Source organism: Homo sapiens, chromosome 3, assembly GCF_000001405.40.
Source record: "Homo sapiens chromosome 3, GRCh38.p14 Primary Assembly".
Lineage (NCBI taxonomy): Eukaryota > Metazoa > Chordata > Mammalia > Primates > Hominidae > Homo > Homo sapiens.
In genome coordinates this window covers 15,643,022-15,666,930 of record NC_000003.12, presented here as the reverse complement: position 1 = coordinate 15,666,930, position 23,909 = coordinate 15,643,022, and the positions used below count along the sequence as shown (strand labels likewise).

The 23,909-nt window shown below is 43.7% G+C and overlaps 1 protein-coding gene across 28 annotated transcripts in view, besides 3 other annotated features; it reads right to left on the bottom strand.

The window, feature by feature from the left end:
* The window catches only part of BTD (biotinidase), a 121,156-nt gene that overhangs the window by 55,586 nt on the left and 41,661 nt on the right, over nucleotides 1–23,909 (bottom strand). For 20 of the 28 annotated variants that reach the window (NM_001407365.1, NM_001407366.1, NM_001407369.1 and 17 more), the window contains one exon: nucleotides 13,217–22,615. The exons of 4 other annotated variants lie outside the window; for them this stretch is intronic. In NM_001407365.1, the coding sequence (NP_001394294.1) occupies nucleotides 21,443–22,615 (1,173 nt within the window). In that variant the 3' untranslated portion in view covers nucleotides 13,217–21,442. Of the gene's footprint in view, nucleotides 1–13,216; nucleotides 22,616–23,909 lie in introns of those variants that run through there. 4 more of the 28 variants (NM_001370752.1, NM_001407379.1, NM_001407398.1 and 1 more) reach the window with 2 other exon arrangements.
* Nucleotides 8,069–8,238: an enhancer, noted in NCBI's record as "experimental_65637 CRE fragment used in MPRA reporter constructs". NCBI's record gives its function as "activates a minimal promoter by MPRAs in K562 erythroleukemia cells, with activity observed for the non-introgressed 3:15700285 variant allele {active_cell/tissue: K562}" and the evidence as "EXISTENCE:reporter gene assay evidence [ECO:0000049][PMID:34662402]".
* Nucleotides 18,995–19,289: a silencer, noted in NCBI's record as "tiled region #6531; K562 Repressive non-DNase unmatched - State 23:Low". NCBI's record gives its function as "represses a minimal TATA promoter and a strong SV40 promoter by Sharpr-MPRA in K562 cells {active_cell/tissue: K562}" and the evidence as "EXISTENCE:reporter gene assay evidence [ECO:0000049][PMID:27701403]".
* Nucleotides 19,716–20,249: an enhancer, noted in NCBI's record as "H3K27ac-H3K4me1 hESC enhancer chr3:15688189-15688722 (GRCh37/hg19 assembly coordinates)". NCBI's record gives its function as "activates a minimal SCP1, AML or CMV promoter by ChIP-STARR-seq in naive H9 embryonic stem cells {active_cell/tissue: H9 hESC(naive)}" and the evidence as "EXISTENCE:reporter gene assay evidence [ECO:0000049][PMID:30033119]".

Here is a 23,909-nt window from a genome sequence, read left to right as displayed (position 1 = left end):
AGAGATTAATTGATAAAAGGTACAGAATAAGATCACATTGGGAGGGAAGATCAGAACAGGCGTCATGGAAGACTAGGTGCGGACATTGAGAATCAGATTTGAACAGATGGAGAAGGGTGCAAACCCTATGTGAAAAGAACAAAATCAGCAGCTCTTTAAATGGTTGGTGGAGTTGGTGGAGGGGCGCTCTGGGATAGAGTAGATATATTGGCACTTAGCAATCCTGAGCATGGAAAGATGATGAAAATATACAAGAGAGCTAATTGGAAACACGTACAAGATTAGATAATAGAAGTGAGAACAAGTAGATATAAATAGGCGATGGGAGGAACAGGTGAAGAGGGCTTTAATAACCTTTCTCAAAGTGGTCTTTATGCAGGTAATAATAATAGAAAATGCCTATGCAGCATTTATCATGTACCAGGCAAGGTTGTAAGTACTTGAAATAAATTATCTCTTAACCCACACAACTGTTCTACGTGGTAGGTACTATTTATAGCACCATTTAACAGATGAGGAAAGGGGGAGATGAAGTAGTGTTTGCCCAAGGTCACCTGGCTGGTAATTTGTGAAGCCTAGATTCAAATCCAGGCAGTCATGTCCATTGTCGGTGCTCTTAACCCCCTAATGACTGCTGACGTGCAATCTGGTCTTTGTTGAAATTGTTGATTTTGAAGTTGAGACACACACTGAATACTAAATTATGTAAGTTCCCCTCATTTTATTCTCCTAGATTATTTTTAGGAGAAACATGTAAATCTGACTGCAACAGGTGTTTATTGAACACCTGCTATGTGCCAGGAACTGTGCTAGGCTCTTGGCATACAGCAGTAAAGGGGGAGGTAACATAGTTTGCCCTCAGGAGTGGATCCTAAAAGAATGATGTCTTCTTACATTTCAGTTGCTGTTGCCACCTAACCACCCCAAATCTAAGTTGTTTAATCACTCTTACTCATGCCTCTGCAGATTGGCTGACATCAGCTTGTGTGGGTAACTGCTTCAAGCTGGGTCTCTGGCTGGGCTTTACTACCTGCTGTGAGTTGTGCTTCCAGTTGCTCCCATCTATGTTCATTCTTGGGCCTGGGCTAAAATAGAAAAGTTATACAGAAGTTTCCACACTGATGGTAGAAGCACAAGAAGGCAAGCCCAACCACACAAGTATGGTTTGTGCCTTCTGCGTGCATCACATCTGCCAACACTCCACTGGCCATAACAAATCGTGGCCACGCCCTACCTCCGTGGGATGGGGCAGTATTCTCTGCCATTTTGGGGAGTATAGTTTGGGTTCCATTTCCACAGTTAGGCCAAAGTGATGCCAACCGATTTGTTGCTGTTTCAACTTTTCCATGGGAATGCTTGGTAGCCTTTCCTTTGTTCCTGTTCCTTCTCTTTTTGTGGTACCCTTACAGTGTGGGTAGTCCAGATATAAAACTGGGCAACAAACATGTATTTTGAGTTGGAAAGTTCTTGCTTGGCAGTGCTACTGATTGGTTGGTTGGTGGATCTGCCCTTTTTCAAAGGTAGAAAACCAACCTCTTCCCTACTTCAGTCTCCAGAAGAATGTAGCACCAGTCCCCTCTCTGGTGTGTTAACTGTGTTCATCCCTTTCAAAGCACAACCTAATCTGAAAGAAGATAGGAAAGCTTGGCTAGTGACTACTTTTAAGACAAAAAATGCTGATATCTAGTGCTCTCCCTTCTAGATCAGTTCTCCATCTCTCCCTCTCCAGCACTTAAAAAATGTCTCCATTTCTCTGCTTCATTCCTCTTTTTGTGTTACTTCTCATTTCCTTGTGGTTGTCTCATTCCCCTTTCCCCTATGACTCTTACTTGTCTACTATCTTAATTAGAATTGAAATACCTGTCTACTAGCTTAATTAGAAAAGAAATATTTCCTTAATTTGAAACTAATTTTTTAAAACATTTTATGATCAAGGGAACATGTGCAGGTTTGTTATATAGGTAAACTGCATGCCGTGGGGGGTTAGTGTACAGATTATTTCATCACCCAGGTAATAGGCGTCGTACTTAATAGGTAGTTTTTTGAACAGTCTTCCTCTTGCCACCTTTCACCCTCAAGTGGGCCCTAGTGTCTGTTCCCCTCTTTGTGTCCATGTGTTTTCATTGAAAAAAATAGTAATTTAATCTTATATTTCTTTCTCTTTACCCTTCTTTAAGAAAAATTAAATTTTCATCTTTTTTTTAAATCCCTTCATGGAAGCCAACATAAATTTTCATCTTTAAAGCCCAAATGGTCAAAAAGCTTTTGCTAAATGATGTCAGTGAAAATGGCAAGAGGAATGACCTCCGAAAACTAGCTGCTTCATAAGAGCCGTGATAAAACTGGCAAAATTTCTCAGAATCGACTGTTTAGAAGTCTGAAAATTAAAGGCTGTCAGCAATCTCAGGAGCATTTAGTTCAAGAAAAACTACTGAATCTACCTAAGACCAACAGCCTTGGTCATGTTTTAACTTGGATTAGTTGCCTTTTTCACTGTTCAGCTGTAGAAGCCCTGAAAACTAACAGCCCACATTCCTGTTGCAGCCTAGCAGCCACCAGAAGGAACAAAACAAAGCTAGAGCTCTTTCAAAACCTCATTCTCCATTATTTGACCAATGCACTTAACAACAGAGTATCAAAGTATGTGAGGCAAAAACCGGTAGAACTGCAATGAGAAATAGATGAATCCACTATCATAGTTGGAGACTTCAACACCCCTCTATCACTAATGGACAGAACCAGCAGGCAGAAAATCAGTAAGGACATAGTTGTGCTTAACACCATCAACCAGCTGGATCTAGTGAACATCGAGACCAGCCTGGCCAACATGGCAAAACCCCGTTTCTACTAAAAATACAAAAATTAGCCAGGCATGGTGGCAGGCACCTGTAATTCCAGCTACTTGGGAGGCTGAAGCAGGAGAATTGCTTGAACCTGGGAGGTGGAGGTTGCCGTGAGCTGAGATCGCGCCATTGCACTCCAGCCTGGGCAACAAGAGTGAAACTCTGTCTCAAAAGAAATGTTCTAAAATCAGTCATGTATGTGTTCACCTTAGGAAACTAGAGAAAGAAAAGCAAAATAAATCCAAAGTAAGCAGAAGACAAGAATTAAGAGTAGAAATCAATGAAATTGAAAAAATATTTCAGTAGAGAAACAACAAAATCAAGACTTGGGTTTTTTTAAAGATTAATAACATCAGTAAAACTCTAGCCAAGCTAAAGGGGGAAAAAAAAGGACACAACTAATATCAGAAATGAGAAGAGACTTCAATACAGAGCAGAGCCCATAGATGTTTAAAGGATAATAAAGGAATATCATGAACAACTTCATGCCAACAAATTTGATAACCTGGATGGATCTTAAAAGACAATTTGCCAAAATGTACACAAGAAGAAATAGGCCTATATCTGAATGGACCTATATCTATTAGAGAAATGGAATCAATAATAACCTTCCAAAACAGAAAGCACCAGACCCAGATGGATTCACTGCTGAATTCTACTGAACACGCAGGGTGAAATTATACCAATTCTATACAGTGTTTTCCAGAGATAGAAGCAGAAAAAATATATCCTAACTTGGTCAAGGAGGCCAGCATTACCTCAATTTCAAAACCAAAGATTATAAGAAGACTGTAGGCCAGGCGCGGCGGCTCACGCCTGTAATCCCAGCACTTTGGGAAGCCGAGGCGGGCGGATCACCTGAGGTGAGGAGTTCGAGACCAGCCTGACCAACATGGAGAAACCGTTTCTAATAATAATAAAAATTAGCCGGGCATGGCGGCGCATGCCTATAATCCCAGCTACTTGGGAGGCTGAGGCATGAGAATCACTTGAAACCGGGAGGTGGAGGTTTCAGTAAGCCAAGATCACGCCATTGCACTCCAGCCTGGATGACAAGAGCGAAACTCCGTCTCAAAAAAAAAAATATTTCTCATGAACATAGATGCAGTAATTCTCAGCAAATCAAGATACTAGCTAGATACAACACAATCATGATAAAAATTCTCAGTAAACTAGGAAAATGGGAACTTCCTCAACTAGATAAAGAACATCTATTAAAAAAAAAAAAAAAAAACCTCCAGCCTGGGCAAGATGATGAAACCCTGTATCTACAAAAAATACAAAAATTAGCCAGGCATGGTGGCACACACCTATAGTTCCAGCTGCTCAGGCGGGTGAGGTGGGAGGATTGCTTGAGCACAGGTGGTCATGGCTGCAGTGAGCCATGATCATGCCACTGCACTCTAAGATCAGGAACAAGACATGGATGGCCCCCTTCACCACTGCTTTTCAACATCATACTGAAAGTTTTAGCTAATGCAATATAAGACAAGAAAAGGAAATAAAAAGTATGCAGGTTAGAAAGGAAGAAGTAAAACATTTTCACAAATGACATGATCATTTATGTAGAAAATCAGAATGAATTTTAAAAGTTGGAACTAATAAGTAATTATACCAGTATTGCAAGATACAAGGTTCATATACAAAAATCAATTACTTTCTCATATGCCAGCAGTGAACAGTGAATTTGACATTTAAAACACAATACTATTTACATTTGTACCCAACATACAAAGTACTTAGGTATAAAACTTGTAAAAATGTATAAGATCTATATGAAGAAAACTCCAAAACTCTATTGGTAGAAATCAAAGAAAAAATAAATGCAGAGATAGTCCGTTCATGAATAAAAAGACTATTTTTAAGATGTCAGTTCTTGCCAACTTTATAGATTCAGTGCAATCTCAATTAAAATCCCAGCAAGTTATTCTGTGGGTATCAACAAACTGATTTTAAAGTTTATATGGAGAGGCAAAAGCCAAGAATAGCCAACACAATATTGAAGGAGACGAATAAAATGAGAGGACTTACACTACCCAACTTACACTACCCATACTATAAAACTACAGTAATCAAGACAGTGTGGTATTGGTCAAAGAATGGACAGATCAGTGGAACAGATAGAGAACCCAGAAATAGACCCACATAAATATAGTTAACTGATCTTTGACAAAGGAGCAAAGGCAATGTGACAGAGTGAAGACAGTATTTTCAACAAATGGTGCTGGAATAATTAAGACAACTACATGCAAAAAGTGAATCTAGACACAGATCTTACATCCTTCCCAATAATTAACAAAATGGATCACAGAACTAAATGTAAAATGCAAAACTATAAAACTCTTAGGAGAAAATCTACCTGACCTTGGGTTTCACAATGACTTTTTAGATATAACACCAAAGGCACCACCCATGAAAAATGATAAGCTAGACTTCATTACAATTTTTAAATTTCTGCTCTGTGAGACACTGTCACAGAATGAAAAGGCAAGCCATAGACTGGGAGGAAAAAAATTGCAAAAGACGGATAAAGAACTATTATCCAAAATATACAAAGAACCCTTAAAACTCACAAATAAGAACACAAGCAACTTTTAAAATTGGACCAAAAACCTTAACAGGCATCTCACCAAAGAAGATACAGGTGGCAAATAAGCATATGAAAAAATGTTCCACACATCTCATCAGGGAAACAAAATGAGATGCCACAACACACCAATTAGAATGGTGGAAATTCAGAACACTGACAACACCAAATGCTAGTGTGGATGTGGAGGAGCTCTTTTTCTTTTTCTTTTTTTTTTTTTTTTTTTTTTTTTTTTGAGACAGAGTCTAGCTCTGTTGCCCAGCCTGGAGTGCAGTGGCATGATCTCAACCCACTGCAGTCTCCACCTCCCGGGTTCAAGTGATTCTCCTGCCTCAGCCTCCCGAGTAGCTGGGATTACAGGCATGCACCACCACGCCCGGCTAATTTTTGTATTTTTAGTAGAGACGGGGTTTCACCATGTTGGCCAGGCTTGTCTTGAACTCCTGACCTCAAGTGATCTATCCTCCTTGGCCTCCCAAAGTGCTGGGATTACAGGCATGACCCACCATGCCCAGCTTGGAGGAACTCATTCATTACTGGTGGGAACGCAAAATGGCTCAGCCACTTCGGAAGACATTTTGGTAGTTTCTTACAAAACTAAACATACTTAAACCATATGATCCAGCAATCCTACTCCTGGGAATTTAATATGGCATGCTGGAAAAGGCAAAACTATGGGGGCAGTAAAAAGATCAGCGGTTGCCAGGGGATATGAGGGAGGAAAGGAATAGGCAGAGAACAGAGGATTTTTAGAAGAGCAAAGTTACTCTGTATGATACTTTAAACAAAACCACCTGTAAACTTGCCACTAAGAGATCATAAACACATAAATTGGTTTTATATTTTCCAAATCTATAACTATGAATATGAGTCATTTTTAAATGGAGTCATATGTCCGGTTTGTAAATTTTTTATTTGCTGTAAATTTCTGTGTCAACACATTGTATATAAACACAATAAATGTGATCCTTGGTGGCTTCTTAGTGTTCAATTGTAAGACATTGGATATGTAGGCTATTGTGTTTTAACATGGATTCAAATGAAATGAAAAGCAGAGGGTTCTGAAACAAGACTAGACCTGTGTCTGGAGTCGAATCAGAAGTGGAAAAGGTCAGTTTTCCTGAGTTGTAATTCCCTTCATGGGTAGCAACGGATGCAGAGAAAACCACATGAATAGCAGCTAAGGTAAAGCACCTTTCCGTATGGCTGGGACAGTATTGCCACGAGTGGGAGGCAAGAAGGAGGGAGCACATGGGCTCTTGGAGCCAGTTGGTCCCAGCAGGAATTCTGGCTCTGCCACTTCCTAGCTGGGTGACCCTGGGCAAATCTCCTAACTTCTCCCCACCACAGTTTTCTTGTCTGTGAAATGAGGACCATAGTACCTCCCTCATGGGGTTGTGGTAGGAATTAAATGAAAAAATACATGGGAAGTGCCTGACACCTAAGCGTCCAGTGAGTGTTAGCTTTTCTTATTCTTGCTTATATTTTCCATTGGGTTTATGAGAAGAATTAAATGAAATAATAAACAGTCTAGAATCTGAACGCTGTCACTTTTTGGCTGTGTGACCTTTGGGCAAATAATTAAACCTCCCTGAACCTCAGATGTCCTATCTATGAAATGATAGGACAGTCATTAGTAGGATGACCTATCATAGGATAAAAGGAAAGTCATCCTACTGATCTCACAGCACTGTTGGAGATTGAAGGGAAGACTGCATATAAAGGACTTGGCACACTGCCTAGTATGTGGGACACACTCCTGAAAGGCATCTTAGAAAAGAGGGATTTGCTGCTCTGACATTCAGTTCCCTAATCTACATGGTCATCTTAGAGTGAATAGAAGTCGTTAATGATAAGGAAACGAATAAAAAATTGAAATATTAACTCTGTTAGTCTGGGTCCTCCAAAAAGCAGATGTCAAGACAGTTTTAAACATGCAAGAATTTTACTAGAGAAAGCGCCTATGTGAAAGGAAATAGAGATGATGGAGCCAGGGGTGGCTGGAAAGCTGTCAAACCACAATGCAAGTCTAACCCCAGTGAAGGAGATTAAGATCAAAGGTTGAGTGGGAACATCCTACCTGCCATGTGTGTCTAATGAACATTTGGCAAAGCACTTGGGAGTCTTTGAACTGAAGTGAGCCACTGACCTAGAGTGCCCCCCTTCCCAGGCATGGATCTGCCTTATTATCCCCCCCACACTCAGTCATGGATGAGAAGCCATGTGTGGAAGCACGACCTTCATTATAAGCACAGCAATGGATTTCAAACTGCACCAGGAACCCTAGGTCATTATGCTTCCTAGAGTAGGTGTGTGAGATATACTAATTTTGAGTTAGGATTCTTGGGCCCATAGAGCCCTGGAGATGCCCTCAACCTTTATAAACTTGATTCAAGCATTTACTGAGAATGTACTAGGTCCTGGGAGCCTTGCTCAGCACCAGCCCCAGGCCTAATGGAGTTTACAACCTGATGGGGAACTGGACATGGGGACAGATACATACAGCCCCCTGTGATCAGTGGGAGGCAGCAGGGCTGTGTGGTCAAATTTGTGGACTTTTGAGGCAGACAGGACAACCTGTATGATTTTTGGCAAGTTACATAACCTTCCTGAGTTTTCATCGACTCTGTCAAATGTGAATGGGAAGACTCCAGGGTTCTGGTATAAATGAGATGAGTTGATTCCCAAAAGTATTCTGCAGAAAGAGAGTGACATAGTAAGTACTCAATAAGCTATTCTAGAGGAATGCATTGAATACAGATTGGAGAGCAGTTCGTTTTCCCAGAAGAGTCAGGGAAAACTAAAGGGATAAGGTAGCATTGAAGGTGTGCCTTGCCTGGGAGGACTGAGCTCAGTTCCTCAAAGTGTCAAGCAGCCTTGCTATTGGGCAGGGTAGCTTCCACTCTGTGTTGTTAGGGGATCTTGGATTAAAGGGGTTTGACTCACTCTGAATATCCGGTTTAAAAAAAAAAATCGGTCTGAAGTTTGGGCAAGATAAAAGTGGGCTACATGTACAAAGGCTATACCCGAGTGCCTGGCAAGATTGCCTTGGTACTAATTTCCATGGCACCCAAACGTTCCATTGTCCCTGTGGGGCAGCATGGCGTCACTCAATTAACAGGTGCTGGAAAGAGATATTCTCTCACTAACCAGGTAATAGCCATCAGGGGGCTGAAACACATGTTCCACGCAGAACAGGGCTTTGTTAGCTGTGCCATCTGTAACTTGTCCATAGGACACTGTGGACAGGAGCACCAGTGTAACTTGTATTCTCTCTCTGAACTCTGAAATTCCCTCCATTTCCTTTTTCTTTCTTTCTTTTTTTTTTTTTTTAGATGGAGTCTCACTCTGTCACCTCAGGCTGGAGTGCAGTGGCGCAATCTTGGCTCAATGCAACCTCCACCTCCCCGGTTCAAGCGATTCTCCTGCATCAGCCTCCCGAGGAGCTGGGATTATAGGTGTGCACCACCATGCCCAGCTAACTTTCGTATTTTTAGTAGAGATGGGTTTTCACCACGTTGGCCAGGCTGGTCTCCAACTCCTGACCTCAAGTGATCCGCCCACCTCGGCCTCCCAAAGTGCTGGGATTACAGGGGTGAGCCACCACGCCCGGCCCCCTCCAACTGTTTTGTCAACCTGTTATATCTTGGGTTTCTGGTACTCTTTTTTTTTTTTCAGTGTTGCTTGAAGACTTTTATATTGTTTGCAAGATTCATGCCTAGAGAAACTGACAAAGATTCCTGTGGAAGGTGCCCTCGAACAGTCCATCACTCACCCATAGGCACAATCTTCTGAGCCCACAGCAAAAAAGCAGCTGGGACCATCCCCACCCAAGAAGGGTGCTTACCTGGAATATGGAAAGGCTACTTACTTGCATAGTGCTTGTAATGTGCCTTACCATTGCTGTAATAATTACATGAAGTTATGATAATAAATAGCCTAATTAGCTCATTAATTTCCCATGTACAAACTGCTTATGTTCAAAACCTAGCTCACATACAGCTCTGGGGGGCATTGAGCCAGTTGTTCAGCCTCTCTGTGTCTCAGTTTCTTCATCTGTAAAATGGGATTAATAAAGATATCTATCTTACAGAGTTATTGGAAAGATTCAAGGAGCTACTATGCCTGCTAAGCACTCAATAAATAAAAACTGACATCAGTACAGCAGCCTACTTTGAGGTAGACTTTAAATAGCCACAAATTCTTTTACACTCCTCCCACTGATGAGTGGGCTCTGTATTTCCTCTCCTTGAATCTAGAAGGGTGCTGTAGCAACTTTACTGATAGAATATGGCAGAAGTGCCACTGTGCCTGTTTCTGGCCACAGCTTTAAGAAATTGGCAGCTTCCTCTTCCTGTCTCTTATAATACCCTGTCTGGGAAACCTGAGATGTCTTGTTAGAAGTCTGACTATCCTCAGACCAGCATGCTGAAAGACCACATGGAGAGGCCCAGAGGAGCCTTCCAGCTGCCCTGTCAATGTGCCAGGGACCTGAGTGGAGAAACTACCCTGGAAGTGGGTTCTCCATCCCCCACCACTCCGGCCAGAAAGAGGTGGGCTGCATAACTGAGTCCTTCCCAAATTCATGAGCAAAATAAAATGGCTGTTCAAGCCATTACGTTTCATAGTTGAAACTTAGAAACTAAGTGGAACTTAGTGAAACTTAAGTTAGTGGAACTTAATGAAATGAAGTGACACTTATGCACTTAGCAATAGATAATCACAACACTGATTAAGAAAATCTAAACATATTAAACAAATGAATGAGTTGGGAGGGGGTGGCTAGCCTCCAGCCCGGAGGGAGAGGATTCATATTACAAATTGAGTCTTTGTTTTTGTTTTATAAAATATTCTATGTTGGATATAAAAATGCTCTAGGAATAAGTGCTCAGTGCCGCAAAGTAAAACCAGCACCCAGGCAAAAGTTTTCTCAGCAAGGCAATTTACTTCTGCAGAAGGGTGCCACTTGAGTCAATCAAGATTGCAAGAGCACAAAGAACAAAGGAGACCAGGCAGTTTTTATATCCTTAATGCAATCCCTACCTCTGTGTCCCTCCCGCATGAGCTGGGGTCAGACTGCGCAATCTGAGCTGACCTGACTGGCTACTTGGAAATATTTTTCTAAATATGGAGGGGAAGGGGACGTGAGGTACAGTGGTGAAGTGTGTGAGACATGCAGTTTGAGGGGAACAATGGGTGCAGGTAACCAAGGCAACAGATGTGAGGTATTGATTAGAACTGATGGGAAGGGGGTAGGCTATTTTACAATAACTAGGGGCAAGGAGGAACAGAAAAGTTGAGGTTTGAAAACAAAGGTCAAGGAAGTTAGCAGGCTAAATCTTTAAAGAGAAACTCAGAGAAATTCATTGTATCTTACATCTATAATAATAACAAAGTAGGCTGGGTGCAGTGGCTCATGCCTGTAATCCCAGCACTTTGGGAGGCCGAGGTGGGTGGATCACTTGAGGTCAGGAGTTTGAGACCAGCCTGGCCAACATGGTGAAACCTTGTCTCTACTAAAAATACAAAAATTAGCCAGACATGGTGGCAGGAGCCTGTAATCCCAGCTACATGGGAGGCTGAGGCAGGAGAATTGCTTGAACCCGGGACGCAGAGGTTGCAGTGAGCCGAGATCATGCCACTGCACTCCAGCCTGGGCAACAGAGTGAGACTCTGTCTCAAAAACAAAACAAAGTAAAAACAACAAAGTATTCTCTGTCATACATGAATACTGTTTCGTTTCTTATTTACTATTAGAAAAAGCATAATTTACAACTAGAAAACAATGAGAGTCTCCAAGGATATTTGAGCTGAAATCATCTCATGTAGTCCCCTCTTTTACAGAGAGAGGACCTTAGGCCTTGAGAGGCACAGGTACATGGCTGAGGTCACACAACAATTTAAAAGCAAGCCAGGCCTGGTCTCTGGGCTCCCAAGCCAGCGCATTCAAAATCTGGGTTTATTTTTTCACTTCTTATTTTTTATGTAAATTTGTAGGAATAAATCTGTTTTGTGACATATGTCCCTTTTACTATTCAATATACACTGCACCAAGGAAAGATCTGAAACAATTTTCAGGGGCCAGTAGAACACAAGGGCCACATTTTGTGGTATTAATTGCAAAACAATGAAGTTCTTCACCCTTTTCAGATTCATTTATAAATGCCAAAATACTGGCTTTTATTATAAGTATCTTTATATTCCATCAACCTAATAATTTTCCTTACATACGTCAAACTCCCAGCATGCTTCAACCCCTAATATGCAGCAATTTAGAGGATATGCACATTATAATTCAGAGGACACAGCCTTCTTTGTTCCTCTAATAGTTACTAAACAATTTGGATTGCAACCATTCTTTGAAGATGTGCGTGTTTACTGAAAACAAAGCCTTTCTGTTGTGCATGAATGTAGGGGCTTTTCCTCCTGTGGCTTTGACGTGTCTGATGTCTTTTAAAAACTGATGCAGGCCGGGCGCGGTGGCTCATGCCTATAATCCCAGCACTTTGGGAGGCCAAGGCGGGCAGATCATCTGAGGTCAGTAGTTTGAGACCAGCCTGACCAACATGAAGAAACCCCGTCTCTACTAAAATACAAAATTAGCCGGGTATGGTGGCGCATGCCTGTAATCCCAGCTACATGGGAGGCTGAGGCAGGAGAATTGCTTGAACCCGGGACGCAGAGGTTGCAGTGAGCCAAGATCATGCCATTGTACTCCAGCTTGGGCAACAAGTGCAAAATTCCATCTAAAAAAAAAAAAAATTAGCCAAGTGTGGTGGCAGATGCCTGTAATCCCAGTTATTCAGGAGGCTGAGGAAGGAGAATCGCTTGAACCCGGGAGGCAGAGGGTGCAGTGAGCCAAGATTGCCACAGAGTGAGACTTCATCTCAAAAACAAAAAAAAGGATGCAGGACTATATTAGAAAATGTTAAGCTTAACATGAATAATTCCAAAGAAATGTTTTGGTTTTTGTCCCTTAAACTGCTATTATAGATTTTTTAATTGTTATTTTTCCCTTAAATAGCTATTTATTACATTCCCCTCAGTGAGTCCTCATGGCTTGGATATGAGGTGTGACTGACTTAGGAGGAGGTGAAGCATCTGAAAACCTGTCATCAGCCAGAAGAATCATTTTAAATGACCATGTTATTCCCCTGCCTAATCCCCTGCAATGCTGTCTGCCCACATAAACCCTAACTCTTCCCCCAGCCTGCAGAGCCTGCAGAACCAGCCAATGCCCTCTCCCCTGACTCCATGCTCCTTCCCTCCCCTTCACTTGCCCCAGTGCCCAATGTTGCCTTACTGGCCTTTTACATTTTTAAACTTGTTAGTTCTTCAAATACTGTTGTAGCCATTTGGAAAAATAAAATCTGCACAAATATCTTTTAGCAATTTGTTTTGGGGGTTGTGTGTGTATTTAAATCCCATGTTTATATGAACACTAGGTGATAATAAGCTCTCGCTAAAGGTAACAGTCTTGGCCGGGCGCAGTGGCTCACGCCTGTAATCCCAACACTTTGGGAGGCCAAAGCAGGCAGATCACTTGAGATTCAGCCTGGCCAATATGGAGAAACCCTGTCTCTATTTTAAAAAATAAATTTTAAAAAACAGTAACAGTCTTATGTGACTTTGCATCCTCCACAATTTCTAGCACAGTATTTTACACGGAACTAATGCTTAACTTTCACACGTGATTTTTTGAGAGTTGCAAGACATCCATAGTCGGATCAACAATTTTTAAAGAATTAGAACACCCCCAAAGTTATACCTTATCTTACAAATCACATTATACATAATTACATCTTTCTTTAATTATCAAAGAATCACTTTAGAACATTAGAGTTCTTCCAGATCACTGAATAGGAATTTCAACCATTACATTCCAGTACTTAGAGAAAATGTAAATATAATTGCCTTTAGTCAAACAAAACAAAAATAATATATTTGGATGATGAACAAGTCACCCAGAAAGGGCTGAAAATTAGCATGACAGGGAGAGAAAACATTTCTGGGTTGGCGACGTTGAAACACTGGCTGTGCATTAGTCCAGGTGTGGGAATTCCAGCCTCGTCCTATGTTGCTGGGATTCTGTTTAGTCTCAGGCAAGGACTTGCCTTCCAGGCCTTAGTTCCTTCTTCTGTAAAATGGACACACTTGCCTGTTTCAGAGGACTGAGGTGATGATTAAGACCCGTGCACCTGCTTTGGTATGCACCGCATTAGACAGTGGGCTCACACTTGATTAGGATCGGAATCACCTGGAGGACTTGTTAAACACAGATTGATGGGCCCTACTCCCAGAGAGTCCGATTAAGTTGATCTGGGGTGGAGCCCAAGAATTTGCATTTCCAACAATTTCCCAGGTGCTACTGGTGCTGCTGCCTGGAGCCCACCTTTCGAGAGCCCCTGGTCTGCACCATACCAGGCTGTTGGATAACTCTGTCTGGGGTGGATTAGACAAAATTCTGCGGGCAGGAGGTTTTCCTGGCCACTGTCAGAATACCTCCTCTAGAACTTCCGATTTCAAAGCAAACAAGTTTGTTCAGCATGGACCCTTCTTTTTGTTGTTCTCCCTCTATCTGAGAACATCTCCCTGTTGCATTTTGCTATTCAAAACCAGAAGAAAAGAGAGTAGATGTAGATGATTTCTGGCTTTGTGTAACCCAACAAATAATAGCCACTAATAGCACTTGATATATATATAGTGGGAGAGATACCTGTATAGGAGCAGTCAGGATAGCTGGGAGATTGAGTGTTGGATGAATTTTAACTTGGATGTGGGAGATTAAGGTGCTGGTAGCAAGACTATTGTATTAGTTTTCTATTGCTGTATAATAAATTACCTCAAAACCTAGGATTTTAAAACAACACACATTTATATTTTATAGTTTCTGAGACTTAGGAAATCAAGAGTGACTTTGTGGGGTGGTTCCGGCTCAGGGTCTCTCATGAGGTTGCAGTCGTTTCCCAGGGCAGTGGTCATCTGGAAGCTTGACTGCAGCTGGAGGACCCACTTCCAACATGGCTCGCTCATGCAGCTAGCTGGTGGCTGTTCCTTGCCAAATGGGTCTGTCCATAGGGATCCTTGGGAGATGGCAACTGGCTTTCCCCAGAGGGAGGGACCCAAGATAGCAAGTGAGCAACCAAGATAGAAGCTGCAGTATCTTTTTTTTTTGGAGACGGAGTGTCGCTCTGTTGCCCAGACTGGAGTGCAGTGGTGCTATCTCAGCTCATTGTAACCTCCGCCTCCCGGGTTCAAGCGATTCTTCTGCCTCAGCCTCCCGACTAGCTGGGACTACAGGCGTGTGCCACCATGCCGGCTAATTTTTGTATTTTCAATAGAGACAGGGTTTCACCATATTGGCCAGACTGGTCTTGAACTCCTAACCTTGTGATCCGCCAGGCTTGGCCTCCCAAAGTGCTGGGATTACAGGCGTAAGCCACCGTGCCCGGTCTGCAGTACCTTTTATAACCCAATTTCAGAAGTAACATGCCATCGCATCTGCCATATTTTATTGGTTACACAAAACGACCCCAGAAAAATGTGGGAAGTGTTGTACAACGGATACCAGCAGGTGGGGAGCACTGGGGGCTAATCTTGAGACTAGCTACCAAGGTTATTTTCATTAAGAAGCTTCTCTCTCCCCTAACTCCTCTATTTCTTCTCAAATGAACTGGTCCATGAGCTTGCAGAATGTTCTGGAAGAACCATGCCAGGGCTGCATTTATCTTCCCTGCATACTCTACCCCTCTCCATTCTGTTCTGTGACCTCCCCAACACTGACTTCTAGATAGCACCAACCAGATTCTCTTATCCTCTGCTTTCCTGTTGGGTCCAGCCAGTGGGAGGCCGCAGCAGGAGTCAGGAGCGGAGAAGAGAGAGGAGACAGGATATGGATCGCCTGGCTCTCTGCCTGTCACACCGCTACGGTCTGGCTGTCTCTCTCACAGCCCCTGCTCCCGCCAGCCTGCTCTCTCCATAAGCTTCCCTCTCCTGCTTCTGGTAACCATTTCAGCCCTTCACACCTTCAGGCCTGGGGTGCTCATAGCTCCTGCTGTCGCTGGCCGCTGGGTAGTGCATTATCCTTTCTGGGTTCCCCTACATCCTGCCCACAGCTGTGTAAATCACTCTGTTCTTAAGATCTCCTCAATCAAGATTTGCAGTCTCCCTCCTGCTATGGCCCTTACGGCAGCAATACCTGACTGGCATCACAGTGAAATTTCTGCTCAGAGGAAAAAAGCCTCGTGGACATTTACTGTTTTGGCCCAACTATATCCCACTCCCCTTCCCCTGGTAACGCTGTCCCAGTGTTCCCCTGGGAAACAGTCCCCACCCCTCAATCCATGAATTTCAGGTCAGAGCTAAGCCTATCATCCCTCACCCTAATAGTGGCCATGTGACTCAGTGCTGGCTGATCAGAATATCACAGCCCTGGCCGGGTACGGTGGCTCACGCCTGTAATCCCAGCACTTTGGGAGGCTGAGGCAGGCAGATCATGAGGTCAGGAGATCGAGGCCATCCTGGCTAACATGGTGAAACCCTGTCTCTATAAAAATACAAAAAATTAGCTGGGCGTGGTGGCACGTGCCTGTAGTCCCAGCTACTCGGAAGGCTGAGGCAGGAGAATCGCTTGAACTCGGGAGGCAGAGCTTGCAGTGAGCCGAGATCATGCCATTGCACTCCTGCCCGGGCGACAGAGCAAGACTCCATCTCAAAAAAACAAAAGAATATCACAGCTCTCTGGCCGATCATTGATTCAGGATGGGCACGTGCCCTAAGCAAGAGCCCAGGTTGTTCATCTCTGAGACTTTAATTAGGGACTGTGTAAAAAGAGGAGCTTCTTCTCTAGAGCTGCTGAGAGGGGCAGATGAAGCCTAGAAGTCATGGCCATTGTTGCAACTACACGAGAGTCTGTCTGTGGGAGAAAATGATAAAGAAGAGTGCAGAGTAGAGTGTGATACTGTGTCCAGAGACACCATTTGAGCCCCTAGATTCAGCAATGGCTGAAGAGAATTTATTCTTAGACTCCCCAGTTACGAGTTAATATATTCTTTTTTTTTTTTGCTCAAACAAAAAGAAAAAGATGAAGAGAATGAGAAGGAAAATGAGAAGAAAAGTTATCTACAAAAAATTATATATGCATGATGCCTAGAGTTCATATATTGGTAATTTCATTTTTAACGGTGCAGCTGTTATTCAGATTTTTGTTTTACTTCAGTACTGAACACAAAAATAAAAAAACTTTCCAAACGGAAATAATGTTTCGTTGTGTTTTTTCTCAGCCTGTCTGAGAAACATTCTAAACATTCTTTGTGACTACCTATTCATTCATTCATTCATTCAGCAGTCAGCAAGCATAGAGCAGATTTTGTAAGCCAAGACAGTGCCATGCTGAACGCTGCAGAGACAAAAGATGAATAGGACACTGGCTCTGGTCTTAGAGGGTGGGTCTCCGTGGAGTCACGATAAAGATGCAAATCCAAGACTCAGCACATATTTGCATGTGGGCAATTCATTAATATCTCTCTGTCAGTTTTCCCCATCTGTAAAATAGCTGTAGCAAACCTTCTTTAGGGCTCATGGCAGTTAAGGGAGACCATTTATGTGCATCCAGCACAGAGCTGTCACTCACTACTAGGTGGCTACTCTAGGCATGGCTCATGTTCCGGCAGAGGGAACTCAGATAAATAGTTCAATGAGAAAGGGCTCTGTGAACTGGGAATGGGAAACACCAGTTCAAAAAGTGGAAGAGTCACAAGCTGTGATGAGAGAGTAGACCTTGAAGGATGGATGAGTGTTCATCAGAAGACGCCATTTCAAGCAGACAACAGTACAGGGGCCAGACTGTGCTCAGCACACTGGAGGAGCTTAAAGAAGTAGCTATGGCTGGACCAGAAACCCAGGTTCACAGTAAGGGCCATCATGTGAGCTCAGAGGTCAGGCGGAGCTGAGGCTGTGCAGAATGTGAACTTTGGCCTGAGGAACAGCAACTGTTGGGAGGTGAGAAACGGGAGAGCTGTGATTTGGATTGAGCAGAGTGGCAGCCCACCTGCAGGATGGTACCCAATGAGGTTCACCTCTGGGCATCTAACACCCTCTGTCTCTTTCCATAGGGAGCAGGGCTGACCTGTGTAACTCAATAAGATGGTGCCAAATGATGCAGTGTGACTTCTGAGACTAGTTAATAAAAGACATCATGGCTCCACCTGTGCTCTCTTGGATCATTTGCTTCAGGGGAAGCCAGGGGCCACATCATGAGGACACTCAGCTATCCCTATGGAAAGACCCAAGTGGTGAGGAGCTGAGACCTTTTGCTAGCAGCCAGCACCAACGTGCCAGCTGTGTGAATGGGCCATTTTGCAAGTGATCCTCTGTATTTGTTTCCTAGGTCTGCCATATCAAAGTACCCTGAACTGGGTGGCTTCAAACAACAGAAACTTATTGTCTCATAGTTGTGGAAGCTGGAAATCCAAAATCAAGGTGTTGGCAGAGCCATGCTTCTTCTGAAACCTGCAGGGGTGGGTTGTGTGTGGGGAGTTGTTTCTTGCCTCTTCTAATTTCTGGTGTTTGTTGGCAAGCAATTTCTGGTGTGCCTTGTCTAGTAGAGGCATCCCTGTGATCTCTGCCCCTGTTGTCACATGGTCATCTTCTCCCTGTGTGTGTGTCTTCTCCTCTTCTGATAAGGACATGTCATATTGGATTAAGGGCCCAGTTACTCTAGTGTGATCTCATTTTAACTTATATCTTCATTGCATCTGCAAAGACCCTATTTCCAAATAAGGCCACATTCTGAGCTATTGGGGGTTAGGACTACAACGTATCTTTTTTGGGGAAGACGCAATTTAATCAATAATATTCTCCAAATCCAGTGAGGCCTTCAACCGGCTGCAGCCTTGGTTGATATCTTCACTGTCACCTCGGCTGACATCTTGACTGTAGCCTCATGAGAGACCCGCTTTCCTGCCCCACAGAACTGGGTGAACTAACAATGTCCATGCTTGTTTTATGCCATTAAGTTTTGGGGCACTTTGTTATGTGGGAATAGGTAACTAACATTCAAAGGGAGGTTAGGGAATGAAAGACTGAAGCCAGGAGACCAGGACCTTTCTCTGGCCTGAGAAGGAACATGGCCTCCCAAGCAGTCCCACTCACAGATCTTCAGGCCACATCAGCTCTTGTCTCAAATCTAGGCCTTTGTGCACAAAACATTTCATACTTTTATGCCTATTTTGTCCTATATAAATCCACTTTGTTGAGAAATTGTTCTTTGAGTGGTCATTTCACTTGAGCGGTTCTGAGTTTCATTGAGAATCAAGAGCGGCCGACTCACCATCGGTCCTCTCTGAGGAGATCTTCTGTGCAGGGACACCTCCTGGGCTACTAGCCAGTGCTCTGATTGGCTGGCCTTGGGCTGGGTGCCTCCTCCTGGTTCAATATACCATGGCTGGGGGGTGGGGGCACAGGTACCAAGCAGGGCCACCTGTGGGGAAAAGTGGCCTGGGTGGGTTTCCCTCAGCAGGGGCTCTGGACAGGCCTGTGTCTTGAGAGCAGACATGGTGGGCTCTGGGACTTGGCAGTCTGTGAGGAGGCCTGGTTTTTTCCTCTCTAAGAACAGGGCTTTTAAATCCAGTGTGAATACAGCTCACTGTGCCTCTCACTTCCCGTGTGAGAAAAACCACAGAAAAGCACAGCTGCACCTACATGAGAAACCACGCAAACCAAGCCACTTCCCCCAAGTCTGGTTTAGCCAAAAATGCATTTGATTTCCTGTCTCCATGTTGTGGTCAAGATTGCCATTTGCTTCCTGAGTTTCAGGATCACAATCGACAAAAACATAATCACAACCATTAGTCATAGATATATTTTTTCCCTGAAAATGATTTATTTTCCCGTCCTCTACTTTGTTCTGTCATCTGGCAGCTACTTCTTTTAATTGTAAAAATTACTTTGTTCTACCACCATTAGTTGCTTTTCCCCTCATTTCTACTTCACGAGCAATTCATTCTAAATTGTTGGTAGAAAATAACTCAGGGAAAGTTCGTGGTGCTCTGCCCAGAAGGGCAGAATGAGGATCCTGCAGGTGCTGATTAGATGTTTACTGGGTGAAGTAGTTCTGCCAAGTCTGTATTTAGCGCTGGCCTCTCTTTCTCAGGCTTATTTGAATCATCTTGGCATAAGGCAATGATATGCATTTTTAGGTAATTTCTGTCTCCCTGGGGTTTGAGGCAGGGAAGCAGACTGGGCGGTGGGTAGCCACATCTGGGGCCGCTTCTGGACTGCCAGCTCACGCCTGGTGGGAGCTGCGCTGGGCGAGAAAGCGAACTCCGTCATCTGGTGGGAGAGGTCCTGCTCCCCTTCCAGAGGGACTTCCTAGGGCGTGGGGAACCCAAGGCTTGCTCAGGAATTCCAAGTCCTTGCTGCTTATTCCCTGAAGACTTGACTCATCCCAGACCTTTCCGAGGGATCAGTGAGTCAGCAGGGGCTGGTGCTGGCTCTGCTTTTTCCCACATGGTTTATTCAACATGCATTCTATGAATAAAAAACCGAGGCCCAAGGTCTCCCCAGTGAGGAGTTAATGGTGAGGCCATGCATGGAAACCCCATCAGTCTGACTGCAGAATCCACATTGTTAATTGTCCTGCCTAAAAGCCAGAAAAGGATCTGGAGGCCTACACCGTGGGGGAATAGGGAGATCATTTCATTTTTCTTGCTTTATAAAATCGTGTGATGTTTAAGCATATACTGTTTAAAATAACTAAAAAGGAGTTCAAACTAAATGGCCACATTTAAGAGGCAAATCACTGAAGACTAATTATCCATTCTGTACTTAAAAAATGATCTGAAACAGCTACTAGGCATGCAGTCAAAATCCTTTTTTAAATGGCTTTGAAATATTGGACACAAATTACACAGAAATCAGTGGCCTAAAAATGTCTTCACCATATTGAGTCTGATAATTTTGCATCTGGAATTCCTAACATGGGAAGCTCCTGCTCTGTGCCTGTTGGGTGATTGAATAAATGCATGACTAAAGTGGGCCACCCTTCATGCCCTTCACGGCAGTCCCTGCAACTTATCTCTATGGGGTGCCAGGCATCGCTGCAAAGCAACGAGATCCTCTATAGGGCTCCAGATCAAATTATACCAGCATCAATCCATCCTGCACAGTCGGGCAACGTGCCCAACTCTTGCCCAAAGCTACCGTGATTTATTAAGGTCCCTGGAATCCCTGGATGAGCTGTGTCGTACAGAAAGAATTCTATTACTCATACCTTCCCATGGCTGCCCCCGTCTCAACATTTCCAGTCCCCACCCGCCCTTCACCCCGAAGCGTTGCACTCTCTCCAGTTATTCCAGGTCCTGCCTACACATTCCATTTACTGACAGAAAATTCCATTACTGGCAGATGTGAGGAACGCTTCTTTTCTATTTTTAAAAGCCGCTTTAAGGTCTACGTTTCTGACGTTGCTGGTGGCGCTAGCATTGCCATTTCATCTGGCTAGAGTTCTGGTCGACCAGAATGGGAAGGTTCCCCACAAGGGCCATTTCTAATTGAGCTTTTGCTTTGAGAGCTTGTTTCTTACCTCAGGAAATGTTTAAGGCTTATGAAATATTTACATGTCCTGGGTGTCACTTGATCAACAAGATAAAAAAAAAAAAAAAAACCCCAAGCCACTGCTTTGTGGATGTGTAAAATATAAACTGACATTTATTTTTGTTTTAGCTTGAGACCAATCGCATACTGAGAGATTTGTTAGAGGAAGATGTGGCTTGAAAAAGATAAATGTGAACAGAAAATACCCCCTAATGTCTCGATGATTGAGGTTTAAGAGGAAGACACTGAGGGAATCTGCCTCTCCTACTTTTTCCACAGTTCCCAGGGTGGAATCTGGTGCCACAGAAGTGGGCTCCTGCCCTTAAGGCAGAAAGATGGTCCCAGGGCTTGTAGCCTGTGGAAGTGCAAGGCTGTCAACATGATGGCCAGAGTCCGCCCCACAGACCACACACTTTTCCTAGTCCCTCTCATACAAGCGCCCATAGAGAGCCGCCGTCACCAGCCCAGAGGACAGCCTACTTTTCCTCAGGAAATAGTGGTCATTCTCCCAGCCAAGCTGGTCAGGGACTTCTAGGGTCATCCCTGAGGTCAGAAACAAAGGAAAGATATAGGAAGTACTGAAGTTGCCCCACAGGTGAAACTCAAATATCCCCGTGGCCTCTGTGATTTCCTGTCCACAGGTGTCGAAGCCAAGACCCCCACACCTGACCAGGGCACACACTTGGATGTAGTAAGTGCCATGTACTGTGTGAAGCCCATCAAAGACCCCCAGGGCATACAGCTCTTTGGATAAGGTGGGCCTCTCGTAAAGTAAATAACAGCAGAGGCCATTGGAACAGACGTGGAGATAGCCTTCCTTTCCCCAGACAGGGACCAGGGTGAAATTGTCATACATCATCTCAGAGTGAAATGTGGGAGGAGCATTCACGTTCCACTTGGTGGCCTCATCACAGTGGACTTCCTGAGCATCCTTCTCACAGTACGGATCGCCTGACAAAATTTTTAAAAACTTACTATGGGATGGGTCCGTTTCACCTGTTGCATTCTCTGCACCAATGAGACCCACTGGATTTTTGGCCACCTGGGCAATTATAAGGTGACTTTTGGGATTTTCCATGTCATGGTACCAAAAGGACTCCAGAGGGGTGTGTATGCCACTTCCTGTCATCCCCAGAACTGGGTGGTGGACATTAGCTGCCAGAACGTTGATGCCAAAGGCAACAGCAAAAGCTTTCTGAATCTCAATTGCTGCCAAGAGTGGGAGCTGGTTCATCCAGGCAGTTGGGTACACAACATGCTTCACCTTGTAGTCTCTGAGGACTCTGATGGCAGGGTCAAAGAACAATATATCAAAGCATGTGAAGATGCCAAACCTGCCAGCAAAGGGGGTATCAAAGGTGATGAGATCCACTTTAAGAGGAACATCGAATGCTGCCTCAAAGTAGAGGTTGTGTTTACGGTAGCGGTCAACAAGGGTTCCATTATTGCTGAACACGACATTTGTGTTGAACTGGTATCTCCCATCTTTTGGGCACCTTGGGTCACTGCTATGACAAGGCTCCTTTGTCCCAAGATTGGCCACCAAGAACATATCTCCCCTGATGGCCATACAACTCAGGCGCTGGAGCACCTAGAGGAAAAAAAGGTGTAAATAAATGAGGTTTTTGCCTGTAATCCCAGCACTGTGGGAGGCTGAGGCGGGTGGATCATGAGGTCAGGAGATTGAGACCACCCTGGCTAACACGGTGAAACCCCATCTCAACTAAAAATACAAAAAATTAGCCGGGCGTGGTGGTGGATGCCTGTAGTCCCAGCTACTCGGGAGGCTGAGGCAGGAGAATGGCGTGAACCCAGTAGGCGGAGCTTGCAGTGAGCCGAGATCGCGCCACTGCACTCCAGCCTGGGCGACAGAGCAAGACTCCGTCTCAAAATAAATAAATAAATAAATAAATAAATAAATAAATAAATAAATAAATTAAATAAATGAGTTTTTAAAATCCTTCCTTTTGCTTCCTCTTCTTTTTTTTTTCTTTCTTTTCTTTTTTTTTTTTTTCAGAGACAGGGTCTTGTTACATTGCCCAGGCTGGACTCAAACTCCTGGCCTCAAGCAATCCTCTCGTCTCAGCCTCCTAAGAAGCTGGGACTACAGGTGTGCACCATTGTACTTGGCTCTCACAATTTTTAAATATAAAAGTACTTATATTTATCCATAATAAACAGCTATCATAAATCAATAAGAAAAAAGCAACCACTACTGAAAATGTGCAAAGGATATAAACAGGTGATTCACAGAAGGACAAAGAAAAGTGACCCACAAACATCTCAAAAGATGCTCAATCTCATTAGTGAGAGAGAAGTGCAAATTACAACAATGAAATAGCTATCATTTCTCACCTTCATAAGACTGGCAAAAATTCAAAAGATTCTTCTTTTTCTTTTTTTTTTGAGGCAGGGTCTGGCTCTGTCGCCCAGGCTGGAGTGCAGTGGCACAATCTTGGCTCACTGCAACTTCCGCCTCCCAGGCTCAAGCCATCCTCCTATCTCAGCCTTCTGAGTGGCTGGGACTACAGGCATGCACCACCACACCCAGCTAATTTTTGTATTTATTGTAGAGACGAGGTTTCACCATGTTGGCCAGGCTGGTCTTGAACTCATGAGCTCAAGCTATCCACCAGCCTTGGCCTCCCAGAATGCTGGGATTACAGATGTGAAGCACTGTGCCCAGGCTCAAAAGATTATTCTATCTTGCATTGACCAAAGGATGGAAAAAGAGGCACTCATACTGTATGACTGGGGCTGTAAAGTGAAATCAAAGTTTTTTAAGCGGGAAATTTGGTACTCTTTAATATAATTTAAAATGTACATATCCTTTGAGGGATTCCATTTCTTTATTTTATTTTATTTTTTTTTTTTTTTTTGAGGCA